This window comes from Homo sapiens, chromosome 17 (genome assembly GCF_000001405.40).
Source record: "Homo sapiens chromosome 17, GRCh38.p14 Primary Assembly".
NCBI classification, from domain to species: domain Eukaryota; kingdom Metazoa; phylum Chordata; class Mammalia; order Primates; family Hominidae; genus Homo; species Homo sapiens.
In genome coordinates, this window is record NC_000017.11 from 28,152,860 (window position 1) to 28,167,653 (window position 14,794).

At 38.1% G+C, this 14,794-nt stretch overlaps 1 protein-coding gene across 4 annotated transcripts in view; it reads left to right on the forward strand.

Annotated features, from left to right (window-relative positions):
• Positions 1-14,794, forward strand: part of NLK (nemo like kinase) — a 163,398-nt gene that overhangs the window by 110,183 nt on the left and 38,421 nt on the right. For all 4 annotated transcript variants that reach the window (XR_934482.2, XR_001752526.3, NM_016231.5 and 1 more), the window contains exons 4-5: positions 8,301-8,407; positions 10,684-10,769. Coding sequence is in view for 2 of the 4 variants with exons in the window: in NM_016231.5 (NP_057315.3) it covers positions 8,301-8,407; positions 10,684-10,769 (193 nt within the window). In the remaining 2 variants the exon portion in view is untranslated. The remainder of the gene's footprint in view (positions 1-8,300; positions 8,408-10,683; positions 10,770-14,794) is intronic.

Genomic DNA, 14,794 nt, shown 5'->3' on the forward strand with positions numbered 1-14,794 from the left:
GTGATCCTCCTGCCTTGATCTCCCAAAATGTTGGGATTACAGGCATGAGCCACCATGCCTGGCCATTGGTACGTCAGGATTTTTTTATTTTTTATTTTTTATTTTTTTTTCCTGTATAAAAGCTCAAGTTTCGGCCAGGCACAGTGGCTCATGCCTGTAATCCCAGCACTTTGGGAGGCCAAGGCGGGCAGATCACCTGAGGTCGGGAGTTCAATACCAGCCTGACCAACATGGAGAAACCCTATCTCTACTAAAAATAGAAAGATTAGCCAGGCGTGGTAGCACATGCCTGTAATCCCAGCTACTCAAGAGGCCGAGGCAGGAGAATAGCTTGAACCTGAGAGGTGGAGGTTGTGGTGAGCCGAGATCATGCCATTGCACTCCAGGCTGTGCAACAAGAGCGAAATTCCCCCTCAAAAAAAAAAAAAAAGCTCAAGTTGACAACTGTCTTAGTCCATTCATTCTGCTATAACAAAATACCATAAACTGGGTGGTTTATAAACAACACTAATTTACTTCTGACAGTTCTGCAGGCTGGGAAGTCCAAAATCAAGACTTGGTGTCTGCCGAGGGCCCATTTCCTAGTTGACATTCTTTAACTATAACCTAACATTGTGGAAAGAACTAACAAACTCCATTAGGTCTCTTTTATAGAGAGGCTCTGACCTCATGACCTAATCACCTCCCAAAGGTCCCACCTCTTAATCACATCTATTTGGGGGTTAGCATTTCAACCTATGAACTTTGGGGAAGACACAGATGTTCAGAACATAACAAAACGCTTAATGCAGGGATGGCAATTGTGAAATTTTTATTTTTGTTTTGTTGTTTGGGTTTTTTCTGTGTAATGGTCCTTTGTTTCCTCTCCCTTGACAATTCTGGAACCAGTGCAACTCAAGAATATTGGGACTTCTGATTAAGACTTAAAGGTGCAAGTAGCAATTTTTTATGTCACCATCCTGTGATTTCCTAGTGGAAAAGAAATTTTTGGTACATACTAGCGGGTTAACATCCTTAATATGAGAAACAGTATTACAAAAAAATTGTCACCCTAGTAGAAAATTGAGCAAAGGACAGGAACAATTTGCTGTCAGTCTTGGTTTTCCTTTTTTTTTCTGTCTCTCATGGTCACACATATGTGTGGCCAATAAACATGTAAAGAGTTTTCAACCTTAAAACACAGTGGATAGAACATAAATCTTTACTACCATTCCTTCCTGTAGTCCCCTTAAATTTCACTAAAGGGTTAAAAATTCAGTCTAGAAAAGGCAGAAATCTAAGCTGGCAGTAATGAGAACCCAGAAACAGGTTGATTCTTGCTACAGAATGTCAGAAAGTCTCAGGAATTGGAGGCATCAAGTATCTCAGAAAGTGGGGATACATGTGGGCCTAAACATCGGATTGGTTGCAAGCCTGTTTAAGAAGTAGTACGATGCTCAGATCTTCTTCCCTCACCCTGCTGGAGACTAAAAGTTTATTCCCTGGACACCCACTAACATAGAATTCTGGCAGCCTGACCTATTCATCCTAAGAAGAAAGATTGGAGGACTCTTCTGAATAAATGATTAACCCAGGAAGGAGGATCTGTACATAATTGAGGGTTCCTCATGAAATAATACCTTAAAGCTCTAAGCACTCCCACAGAGCTACATTATAGTGAAACAATAATATTGTAAACATCCAGTGGCAGGAGATGACTTAACTCCTGACATATTATGTAAAATGGAGTACTATTTAAGCATTTGAAATGATATAAAAGAATATATATAATACCATGGAAAGAGTTTACAGTATTTTAAAACTTTTTTAAAGTATATGTAATATCCTCACATACACATAAAATTCTATATATAGGATGTTTATCTCAAGGTTATTTAAAATAGTTAAAAATAGGCCAGTCTCAGTGGCTCACACCTGTAATCCCATCACTTTGAGATACTGAGGTGGGCAGATCACTTGAGGTCAGGAGTTCAAGACCAGCCTGGCCAACATGGCGAAACCCCATCTACTAACAATACAAAAATTAGTCGGGCATGGTAGCATGTGCCTGTAAGCCTAGTTACTCAGGAGGCTGAGGCATGAGGATCGCTTGAACCTGGGAAATGGAGGTTGCAGAATTATGAGCCAAGATCACAGCACAGCACTCCAGCCTGGGTGACAGAGCAAGACTCCATCTCAAAAAATAAAATAGTAAAAAATAAAATTAGAAATAGCTTTTTAACAATGATCACTTGGTTAAATGAATTATAATATAGCCACACGTTAGAACACTATGCAGTCATTAAAATTCTGCATTATTAAACCATTGAATGGGATAAGCAAGGGATTCCCTTGCTTGTTTTGTTTTTAGAACCTTATATTTTATTAAAAGAACAGGCAACAGCAGAAAAGTTAAAAGGTCATTAAAAAGTCAGGAAACAACAAATGCTGTAGAGGATGTGGAGAAATAGGAACGCTTTTACACTGCTGGTGGGAGTATAAATTAGTTCAACCATTGTGGAAGACAGTGTGGCGATTCCTCAAGGATCTAGAACTAGAAATACCATTTGACCCAGCGATCCCATTACTGGTTATATACCCAAAGGATTATAAATCATGCAGCTATAAAGACATATGCACACGTATGTTTATTGTGGCCCTATTCACAATAGCAAAAGACTTGGAACCAACCCAATGTCCATCAGTGATAGACTGGATTAAGAAAATGTGGCACATATACACCATGGAATACTATGCAGCCATAAAAAAGGATGAGTTCATGTCCTTTGCAGGGCCATGGATGAAGCTGGAAACCATCATTCTCAGCAAACTATCACAAGGGCAGAAAACCAAACACCGCATGTTCTCACTCATAGGTGGGAATTGAACAATGAGAACACTTGAACATAGGGCAGGGAACATCACACATCAGGGCCTGTCGGGGGGTGGAGGGCTGGGGGTGGGATAGCATTAGAAGAAATACCTAATGTGAATGATGATTTGATGGGCGCAGCAAACCAACATGGCTCATGTATACCTATGTAACCTGCATGTTGTGCACATGTACCCTAGAACTTAAAGTATTAAAAGAACAATGTATATAATACCAGTTTTATTTTAAATATACATGTATGTACCCATGCACATTAGTTTCATCAAAATGTTCTAAATTCACCCAAAGAGGTAGAATTCTGGATATTTTTAATATTCTTGCATTTTTTTATAATTTCCATTTTCTACAATGAAGTTTAAGAAAACTATTAAGGAAATTTTCAAAATATACAAAAATATATACAAAATATGCAAAAATATATACAAAAATATAAGAGCCAGTAGTATATAAGTATATAACTTGCGTACCTCATGCTCAGCTTTAACAATATTAATCATTTTGCCAATCTCATTTCCTCTATTCTTTTTTATTGAGGGGAAGGGAAAGGAGGGCTGGAGTATTTTAAAGTAGATAACCAAACATCACATTATTCCACCTATAAATACTTAAATGTGAATTTCTAACAGATAAGTACCTTGAAAACAACAATTATGCCATTATCACACCTAATAAAATTAGCTAATTCCTTAATATCTGTTGTCTGATTGCCTCAAGAGTCACTTTTTGAATAAGGTTCTAAACAAAGTTCACACGTATGTATGGTTATTATGTCTCTTGAGTCTCTTATCCCAAACATTTCTGCCTGCCCTTCACCCCGCAACACACACTTTTTTTGTGGGAGGGGGAGGGGGATGGTCATTGATTTGTTAGATAAATTTTTCCTGAAGAATGATCCACGTTGTGTGTTTAGTAGATTGCTTCTTCATAATGTCTTGTTTTTTAATTCCACATATTTCTAGTTAACTGGTCATTAGAGCTAGATGATTGATTACATTCAAATTAAGTTTTTTGGGACATGAATAATTCTAGGCAGTGGTGTGCATATCACAAACATAATATTCTTGTTCCACATTAAATTATGCTAAGATTGAGTGGTGGATTGAAGTGATGTCAGTCTCACACTCATCCTTTTCAAGTGGTTTTACCAGCCATCGATGGTGCCTAGCTCCAGAGATTGCAAAACCGTGGTTTTTTTTCTAATTCTGTAATTGTTTCTGCATTTATTGGTTGAAATTATTCTATAAAGAACATAGTGAACATTTAGTCTATTTTGTGATAGTTGTGGGGGGTTTTGTTTGTTTTTGAGACAGGGTCTCACTCTGTCACCCAGGCTGGAGTGCAGTGGCAAGATCAGGGCTCACTGCAACCCCTGCCTCCCAGGCTCAAGTGATCCTCCCACCTCAGCCTCCTGAGTAGCTGGGACTACCAGCAAATGCCACAATGCTCACCTATTTCTTAAAAAAAAAATTTTTTTTTTTAAGACAAAGTCTTGCTCTGTCACCCAGGCTGGAGTGCAGTGGTGCGATCTCAGCTCACTGCAACCTCTGCCTCCTGTGTTAAAGTTGTTCTCCTGCCTCAGCCTCCAAGTAACTGGGACTATAGGCACATGCCACCACACCCAGCTAATTTTTGTATTTTTAGTAGAGATGGGGTTTCACCATGTTGGCCAGGCTCGTCTCAAACTTCTGACCTCAAGTGATCCACCTGCCTCTGCCTCCCAAAGTGTTGGGATTACAGATGTGAGCCACCGCACCCGGCCTATTTCTTAAACTTTTTATAGAGATGGGATTTCTCCATGTTGCCCAGGCTGGTCTCAAACTCCTGGGCTCAAGCAGTCCACCCTCCTGGGCCTCCCAAAGTGCTGGGGTTACAGGCATGAGCCACCACACCTGGCCTACTTTATTAGTTTTTAAAAATGTTACTTAAAAAAAAGAATAAGAAGATAAATCCAAAATTGCATAGAACCATTGAAGCAATTTTAGACATGATCAGATCTAAAATCTTCACTACTATGTAACCGTAGGTAGGTTGTCTTCTGTTAACGTCAATTTCTTTATCTAAATTTAGGGTACCACTACATACCTTGTAGAGTTACCATGAAAATTAGATGAGATTATCTATTTAAAATACTTAGTAGAGTACCTATACCTAGCAGGTGCTCAATATACATTCATTCATCAAATATTTATAGGGACCTACTATGTGCACTATATTCTAAGAGTTTAGGATAAATTTGTGAACAAAGCAGACAACCCTTGCCTTTATGGTGCAGGCTTGGCAATACAGACAGAGAATAAACATAAGGAAATTACAGGATAATAACTACTAAGGGAAGAAGAAAAAGTAAAGCTGTGCAAGGTGATAGCAAATGGATAGGGAGTACAGGTTGTTACACAAACCTAGATGGTATAGCCTATTACACACCTAAGCTGTATGGTATAACCTATTCCTCTTAGGCTACAAACCTGTACAACTGTACAACATGTTACCGTACTGAATACTGTAGGCAGCTTTAATACAATAATAAGTATTTGTATATCTAAACGTATCTGAACATAGAAAAGGTACAGTAAAAATATGATATAAAAGATAAAAATGGTACACCTGTATAGGGCACTTAACACGAATGGAGCTTGCAAGACTGGAAGTTGCTCTGGGTGTGTCAGTGAGTGGTGAGTGAATTTGAAAGCCTAGAACATTACTGTGCATTACTATAGACTTTATAAACTCTGTGCTCTTAAGCTACACTGTTTATTTTTTTAAAGTTTCTTTAATATAAATTAACCCTAGCTTACTGTAATTTTTTTACTTTCGAAACTTTTTAATTTTGTTAAATATTTTACTCTTTTGTAATAACACTTAGCGTAAAACACAAGGACATTGTACAGCTGTACAAAAATTTTTTTTTCTTATTTATTTATTTTTTCTCACTCTGTTGCCTAGGCTGGATTGCAGTGGTGCAATCATGGCTCACTGCAACCTTGACCTCCCAGGGTCAAGTAATCCTTCCACCTCAGTGTCCTCAATAACTGCTAGGACTACAGGCACAAGCCACCACACCTGGCTAAGTTTTTTGTAGAGTTGAGGTCTGAGTTGCTTTTTTACTTTTTAAAATAAGACACAAACATATACATTAGCCTAAGCCTACACAGGTTTAGTCACCAAGACACCCCTAGGCAATACAATAGGAATTTTCAGCACTGTTACAGTCTGTGGGACCACCTTTATACATGTGGTCCATCATCAACGAAACATCATTATATAATGTCTGACTGTAGTGTCAGAGTGGTTGAGGTAGGCCTCATTTGAAAGATAAAATTTGAGCAAAACCACAAAGGACGTGAAAGAGTTAACCAAATAGATGTCAGGAAGTACAGTCCATGCAGAGGGAATAGCTAAGGCCTAAGGTTGGAGTGTATCTAGCATGTTCAGAGAATATCCAGGAAGAAAGCAATAGAAGAGGTCAGAGAAGGAAGAAGGCCAAATGATTTATGGCCTGTGAGACCATTTTAAGGACTGGCTTTTACTCTTAAATGAAATGGAAAGCTTTTGCAGAAAAGTGACATAATTTGGCCTTCATCCTAAAAGATCATTCTGTGAAATGCATCCAGTTTTGGATGAATTGATGGATGGAAAGAGCAATGGATAGATGTGTGACAAAGCAAATATAGCAAAATATTCAGTGTAGATTCTAGGTGGTAAGTGTGTATATGGGTCATCTCTGCGTAATTTTCTGTGTTTGAAAAATAAGAAAAAGTTGAATAAAAACTATTAAAAACTATAACCCTGATGTCATTATTTAACTCTTCATCATTTTATAGAATAATTTTAACATGTCACTGAAAACTGTCCTGTAAGTGAATCCCACATGCCAAATATCATTTTCTCATTAACTTTCATTATGAAGTAGAATATATTTCTTTGGAAAGAATCTGAGTGATAAAACCTAAGATTAAAATATCTAAGAATGTAAAAGGCTTAAAAATTATATTTTCTATATAATAAAGTAAATGTCAGTATATAGGCAAAATAAAAAATATAACAGTAAAAAAAATTATCCTGGCTGCTGTTTTAGAAATCTAGCAGTCTTGGGCCAGAGTAGTAACAGTGGATATAAGAAGTGGCCTTAATTCTGACTAAATTTTGAAGGATTTCTGATGAATTGGAGGTATGGTGAAAGAGAAACGGGGAGTAAAGGATAACTCCTTGATGTGGTTTGTGGTGCAAGCAACTAAGAAAGATTTGGACAGTTTTGGACTTGTTAGTTTGAAATGTCAATTAGGTATCCAGGGGAAATAGGTAGGCAGTTTGATATACCAGTCTGCACTTAAGGAAAGATTAACTAGAGAGAGAAATTTGGCAGTCTGCAGCATGGATGTTATTTAAAGGCATGGCACTGGATCCGAGTATCCACGAGTGTGGATAGGGAAGAGGAGTGAGGACCAGCAGCCATGGGGCATTTCAACGTACAATGATTGAAGGAGACTAAAGCGATTTGGAAAAAATGTCTCGAGGAGGAGGGAGTTTGAAAACAATTGAAAAACAATTTTTAGTTGTTTTGTCAAAGGCTGTTATTATCAGTTCTCCTCCCTGTTCCCAAGTTATCCCCTTTCCTACTTGTTTTTGCTAAAACATTAAATTAGAAATTGCCTTAAGAAAACTTAATACTTAAATTATAAGATTTACCATACTTTTGCTTCCCTAATGTATCTAACACGTGCTTCACAAGAGTCTTGAATTGCATATCTCCATGGCTCCCCAGGCTCCAGCCTTTAATCATCGGCCATGTGTCCATTCAGCAAAACCCTAAACATACAACAGAGTACAACGTATAGGAAGCTCGCTCGAAATCTAGTGGTGATGGTGGGGAGGGGTGTTTCATAAATATATACAAAGTTAAATAATAAAGGAACTAAATTACTAAGATTGTGGAGAGACTTAACTAATTATTTTACATGTGTTTAGGAATACCATATTTTATAATGTAACAAGCCACAGCCCTTGGATAGGTTGTGATCTTTTCCATTGGTGTCATGGTGGCCTAAGATGAGATCACCAATCCCCATTTGTTTGGATTCAAAGGACATTCCTGTAATATGTCTAAGTAGAGCTTAAGACTGTTTGGTCGTCATACTTTTCCTGGCCTGGCTGTTATTTAAAATGTTTACCTTTGGTTTTCTCTTTGATAATGCTGATTATAAGGAAATCATTTGGTCGTTTACTTCTGCTGACTTTTAAACATGTAAGTTCTTTTGATTTTAGTAGTGTTTTGTGAGGGCTGGAATTCTCACCTCTGTCACGCTGTCTAGAAGCTTTCTTTCCCCACTTTTCCAGCCTTGAGAATGGAAGTTATTTTTTAGATCTGGTCACCACTTTGAGGGGGTAGGGGACTGAATTCGCCGAACTCTCCTTAACTTAAAACTTCAAGATATGTTGTCACAGAATTGATGCAGAGTGACCTACATAAAATTATCGTCTCTCCTCAACCACTCAGCTCAGATCATGTCAAAGTTTTTCTTTATCAGATTTTGCGAGGTAAGATTTCTTTATGAAGAAAAAGGTGCTGTCACACTGTAAATGAAATGTTTTGCTTCTCATTTAGACTTTAATCCGATCTTCCAAGGTTTTCTTCTTCTCTAAAGACTTTTTTCTTTTGACCAAAGCATATTTTATAATTTCTATATTTAATGTTAAAGAGGAAGCTTTTTAGGGTTGCCAAATAGTTCTTGTTTTCAGTGATGAAAGAGAAAGCCCTGTCAAATTCATTAGGCAGTTGAGTGGGCTAATCTAGGTGAATAAGCAGGATGGTTTGTCACAAGTTCACAAAACAGCCTTTAGTTTTCAACGGAATAGGAATATGTGGCATCAGACGACTAAAGTGAAAAGTGACTATATCCCCTATGGATGACGTCCATCCTGCAAGCCAACAGTAGGTGGGCCTGTCTGAGTATTGGCTGGCATACCTGAAGCCAACTCCAGAGAAACAAAATGACCCTTAAAACCAAAGTAGATTGGGAAGACCAATAAACAGAGCCAGCTAAATTCTAGACAGCTCATTAAAGAGCACAGACTTGACTGAGAAAGGATTTGGGCCAACATTATTGACACTTCTTCTGGCCATCAAGTATGTCCATGAGAATTTTGCCATTACAAGTAGAGAATTGCTTAAACCTGAAACAGCTTTCTTACCTAGTAAGCAAAATACTTTCCCCCTGCCCCAGAATTCATAGAATTAAGAGATTCTTTATAGAGATTGAAAAATAAATGCCAAAAGGATGAAAACACATAAGCAATTTTTTTTTCAGACAGAGTCTTGCTCTGTCGCCTAGGCTAGAGTGCAGTGGTGCGATCTCAGCTCACTGCAAGATTCGCCTCCCAGGTTCACGCCATTCTCCTGCCTCAGCCTCCCAAGTAGCTGGGACTACAGGTGCCCGCCACCACGCCCAGCTAATTTTTTGTATTTTTAGTAGAGGCAGGGTTTCACCGTATTAGCCAGGATGATCTTGATCTCCCGACCTTGTGATCCTCCTGCCTCGGCCTCCCAAAGTGCTGGGATTACAGGCGTGAGCCACTGCGCCCAGCCACATAAGCAATATTAAAACTAAAAAACTCACCTCCAGGCCAGGCATGGTGATTCATGCCTGTAATCCCAGCGCTTTGGGATGCTGAGGCGGGCAGATCATCTGAGGTCAGGAATTCAAGACCAGCCTGGCCAACATGGCAAAACTCCATCTCTACTTTAAAAAAATACAAAACTTAGCTGGGCATGGTGGCACTCGCCTGTAGTCTCAGCTACTTGGGAGGCTGAGGCAGGAGAATCGAGTGAACCCAGGAGGTGGAGGCTGCAGGGAGCCAAGATCGCGTCACTGCACTCCATCCTGGGCAACAGAGTGAGACTCCGTCTCAAAAAAAACAAAAACGTTCACCTCTAAGATTTGTTCATATTCTATGGTAGGGGAAAATGGGGAAGATATTGGCTCTTTTTGTACTTGTGAAAAATGTGATTTGCTACATTTTATCCAAAAAAGACTCAGCCCATTAGCCGGATATGGTGGTACATGCCCGTAGTTCCCACTTCTCAGGAGGCTGAGATGGGAGCATGGCTTGAGCCAGGAAGGTCGAGGCTTCAGTGAGCTGTGATCATACCACCACACTCCTGCCTAGGTTACAGAGCGAGACCCTGTCTCAAAAAAAAAAAAGAAAAGAAAAAAAGAAAAACGCACACAAAAAGGACTCAACCTTGAGGCTGGGACCTTTAGCAGTACTGAATGAAGACACTGGTCTTCTAAGATTTCACAAATATTTTTAAAGTGGTTCATTACCCTCTTGATTCTGAGCGGTAAAGAATACTACTGACAGTGTGGGCAAGTTCCTGAATTTTGTTCTATCAGTGAAACATCTGTCCTGGGAAAGGCTCCCTGTAGTAATGGAAACTGTTTTGTTGGAGCAGGCTCCGAGTTGCAGGTTAAGAGTATCAATAGCAGCAGTCCAATAGCCACACTGACTAGCAATCTAAGGTTATTAGTATGGTCTTAACTCGAGTGCCTAAGAAGCTTATCTGTATTTAAACCTACATAATTGTTTAAATTATAGACATTATCTCTAGACTTTGCAAACCTTTGGTGACATTTTATTTTACTGTAGCAAAATTACGGTATTTTGAGGTGGGACTAGCTTTTAATAATGTTCATTATGCAGTTATTTAGGGAACAATTTTAAATCCTCTACTGTTTTCTTCCAAGGTTTTTTTTAAATTATTGGTTGAGTAAAAGGAATTAAATATCTGCAATTAAATCTGTTTGTTATTTCAGGTTTGAAATATCTCCATTCAGCTGGCATTTTACATCGAGACATTAAGCCAGGGAATCTCCTTGTGAACAGCAACTGTGTTCTAAAGGTAGCTTTTCAGTTTATTTAAATACCTGGGAAAAATCAGAATGTCAGGGCAGGTTTAAGAACAACATATTTTTGTGAAAGAAAGAAGTTCATTTCCATTACTTTACCAAAAGTTAACCCAGTTTTCTCCATATCACTACTCATAGCCATGGTAATAATTTGTAGTCCTGCCTCATGTTCTTTTCATGATATTTGGCCTATGTTTTAGAAACACTGAAATTGGAATTGTAGTGTAACTAGAAAGAAGAATAGACAAGGTGACTCCTTTACAGCTTGTTCCATTATTAAAAGAAGTGCATATCAGAAGAAATATTAGAACAGCAAGCATCTGTTTATATAAGAGAATGAAGTGTGACTTTTAGGAAGACCATTTACATTTTTACACAGCTAACATATCTATATGCTGTTTGACCAAGGTAGCAAAGTAAGAAGTAGAAACATATTTAAAAGGGATAGTGCTGGCCAGACACGGTGGCTCATGCCTGTAATTCCAGCATTTTGGGAGGCTGAGGCGGGCAGATTGCTTGAGCCCAGGAGTTCAAGACCAGCCTGGGCAATGCAGCAAAACCCCATCTCAATAAAAAATTCAAAAATTAGCTAGGTGTGGTTGCACATGCCTGTAGTTCCAGCTACTCAGAAGGCTGAGATGGGAGGATCACCTGAGCCCAGAGCGTGAAGGCTGCAGTGAGCTGTGATCACACCACTGCACTTCCACCTAGGTGACAGAGTGAGACCCTGTCTCAAAAAAAAAAAAAAAAAAAGTGAAAATGCCAAACCAGAAAAGGGTAATATGCATCTATCCAATGTATTTCCATAATGTATAGTAGCCAATTCTTAATTATTCCTCTGAAGAGGAATTGATTACAGAATTATATTTAGTAGTTCCAAAATTTCAAGTCATCAGTTTCAGTTTTACTTCTCTTCCCTAGTACAGCCATTGTCTTTCATTTAAAAAGGGGCTTGCAAATAGCAAAGTCCACATATTTGTATTTCCCTACCTCTAATACAGATGTGTATTGGCAGAACTCTTGAATAGAGAGAGGTCCACTATATTTTTCCTCATAATAGAAATTGGAAATAAGGGCCTTTAACTGCTATATTTGAAAAGAAAAATAAATTTTTAAAATGTTACCCACTTTAAAAGTAATCAAGACTATCATTATTACTTAGGTTGCTGGCGGTTAAACTAAGTAATAAAACCAAGTGTATAAATAAAATTCATTTTTTATTTTAAATGATTTCTCTGAACTGTAGGTCAGTTCTCTTGAAAAGCTGGTGGATTATACTGCTTATGAATGAAAATTCTCCCTTCATTATAGCCTTGAAGAACCCTCACCCTTATTTTAACTCAAGAAAGATGAAAACCTATTTTTCATATTTTCCCTAAAAATAGCTGATGTTGTAATTCAGTCTTTTGTTTCCACAGAGAAGTTAATTGCCACCAAAATCTACTAAAGTATTCCTTCTATAGGTTATTGAGTTTTTCCTGCCACCTTTTCACTTTTTAAAGAGAACTTGCAACCTATCCCCATAATCGTTTTTTAATTAAAAAAAAAATTTAAACCTTATAGTTAGAAATTTTTTTGTCCTATTCATACCTAATCAATCTTACGACAGTTTAAGCCAATTTCTTCTTATTTTGGTTTTTGATTGGAAGACTTCACACAGGATTTTGTGCAGGACCTGTCATGTTTGATGCCATTAACTGCTTGAAGTTCATTTTCCAAATTGTCCGTTATGGTTTTATAACCTTGGACTGTATGAATGGGCAACTAAAGGAAAATGCCATTTGTGAATACACAACACACAAATCAGAACAAACAAATTTTGCTCCACTCCTTTGACTCATCTTATGGGCCTACTTTTAAAAAGCCAGAATAGAGTCTAGGCTATAGACACTAGTTCTTTCTTCTCAAACATACAAATTCATTGAAGATCATTATAACAAAACATTTTTTAAAAATCAGTATCCTTCCATATCGTGAATGTATTTTGTTTCCTATTAAGCACAAGATGGATAATTTTGCTGGAATTTTTTTAGTTATCTGATCATGTAAGCTTCCTATTTTGGACTCAGGTTGTCTTCCAAATAAGTTGCTAAAAATGACGAAATCATACTGATGTTTTTAATAAGGGATTTGCTTTATAACAGAAGGCCTTTTTTTGTTGGATGGGTGGTTGGTTGGTTTTTCTCATATAAATATGAGAAAAAAATTATGTTCTTTCCTTTTGTTGGTTTGGTTTTTAAAAATATCCTCAAGAGTCATGGCCAAGTAATAGAGTTTTTAAAATATTATATGTTATTTTGGCCGGGCGCAGTGGCTCACGCCTGTAATCCCAGCACTGGGAGGCTGAGGTGGGCAGATCACTTGAGGCCAGGAACTTGAGACCAGCCTGGCCAACATGGCAAAACCCTGTCTCTACTAAAAATACAAAAATTAGCCAGGCGTGGTGGCGCATGCCACTAGTCCCAGCTGCTCAGGAGGCAGAGACACGAGAATCACTTGAACCTGAGAGGCAGACGTTGCAGTGAGCCGACATCATGTCAGTGCACTTCAGTCTGGGTGACAGAGTGAGACTGTCTCAAAAAATATATATATATATATGTTATTTGAACATATTTGATGAACTCGGGCTTTTGTTGTTATGTTATATGGTTTATCTGTATAGTATGGAAAATTTTCCTGCTTTCTTAAGTTGTAAAGATGGTGGCTTCATACTGATTCATTCCCACATACACATCTGAATTCATTTGATGTAACCAGACATAGTAGATTCAAATCAGAAAGAGGGGATTGCCAAAAATTGGGGGATAAATTTTGTTTTCTTTAGAACGGGGTTTTCAGATTTTCTTTTTAAGCTGCCGGAACTCTTTTTCAAATAAAATCTTATTTGGGGACTTCAATTTAGAAAACAGATTTAAAATCATATTTTATCACTTGCAATATTGTGACTTGTAAAGTTAATCAGTGAGAACACTGGAGCTTAGATGGCCATTACTATCTGATCTCATCCTCAGTGCTCCTAGTTGTGTTTTGATTGCCCAATATCAAGAAAATTTTAATTCCTAAAGATAAGTAGTAGTTGCTGGTGGTGGCACGGCTGCTGTTTATTAATAGCTCACCTTGTAACCCTCAGCATACTTTTCAGTTGAGCAGAAATAGCAAGAAAAGATTTATTTCTAAGTTTGTATAGAAGTTAACCTGTCTTTATTATTTATTGCTGTATCTCCAGATTCTAACATACAGTCTGTAATATAACAAGTACTAACTTAAATATTTATGGCATGAAGAAATGAATGAACCCCATAGCATTAGTATTCTACCATATACTGCATTTTAACATATTTATACATTTGAGTATGAATTTGTATTTTAAATAGATAGGTACATGTGAAGTTTGGATATAATATTCATGGAATGCCTAAAGTCAGAAGTAGATTCAACTGGAGTCAGTTTGAAACCCATTGCTTTAAAGAAATTCACATATATTTCATAAAGACGACAGACACAGTCTCAGCTAAGGAGACCTTCAAGATACACCCCTTTATCTTATGATATCTTCCTCTCTAAACTAGTCTTGAAAGTAATTGGTTTTGTGGGGGTTTTTAAATTTTTTTTAAAGATAGGGTCTCAATCTCACTCTGTCTCCCAGGCTGGAGTGCAGTGGCACAGTAATAGCTCACTGTAGCCTCAAACTCCTGGGCTCAAGCAGTCCTCCCACCTCAGCCTCCAGAGTAGCCGGGACTACAGGTGCACACCACCACGCCCAGCTTTTTTTTTTTTTAATTGTTTGTAGAGTTGAGATCTTGTTATGTTGTCCAGCCTGGTCTTAAACTCCTGATCTCTCAAGCAGTCCTCTCAATCCCTGGGATTACGGGCATGAGCCACTGTGCCTGGCCAACAGTTGGTCTCTAAATCAAACCTACAAGTATGCATTTGGCCAGGTGCAGTAGCTCACGCCTGTTATCCCAGCACTTTGGGAGGCCAAGGCAAGCAGATTGCTTGAACCCAGGAGTTCAAGACC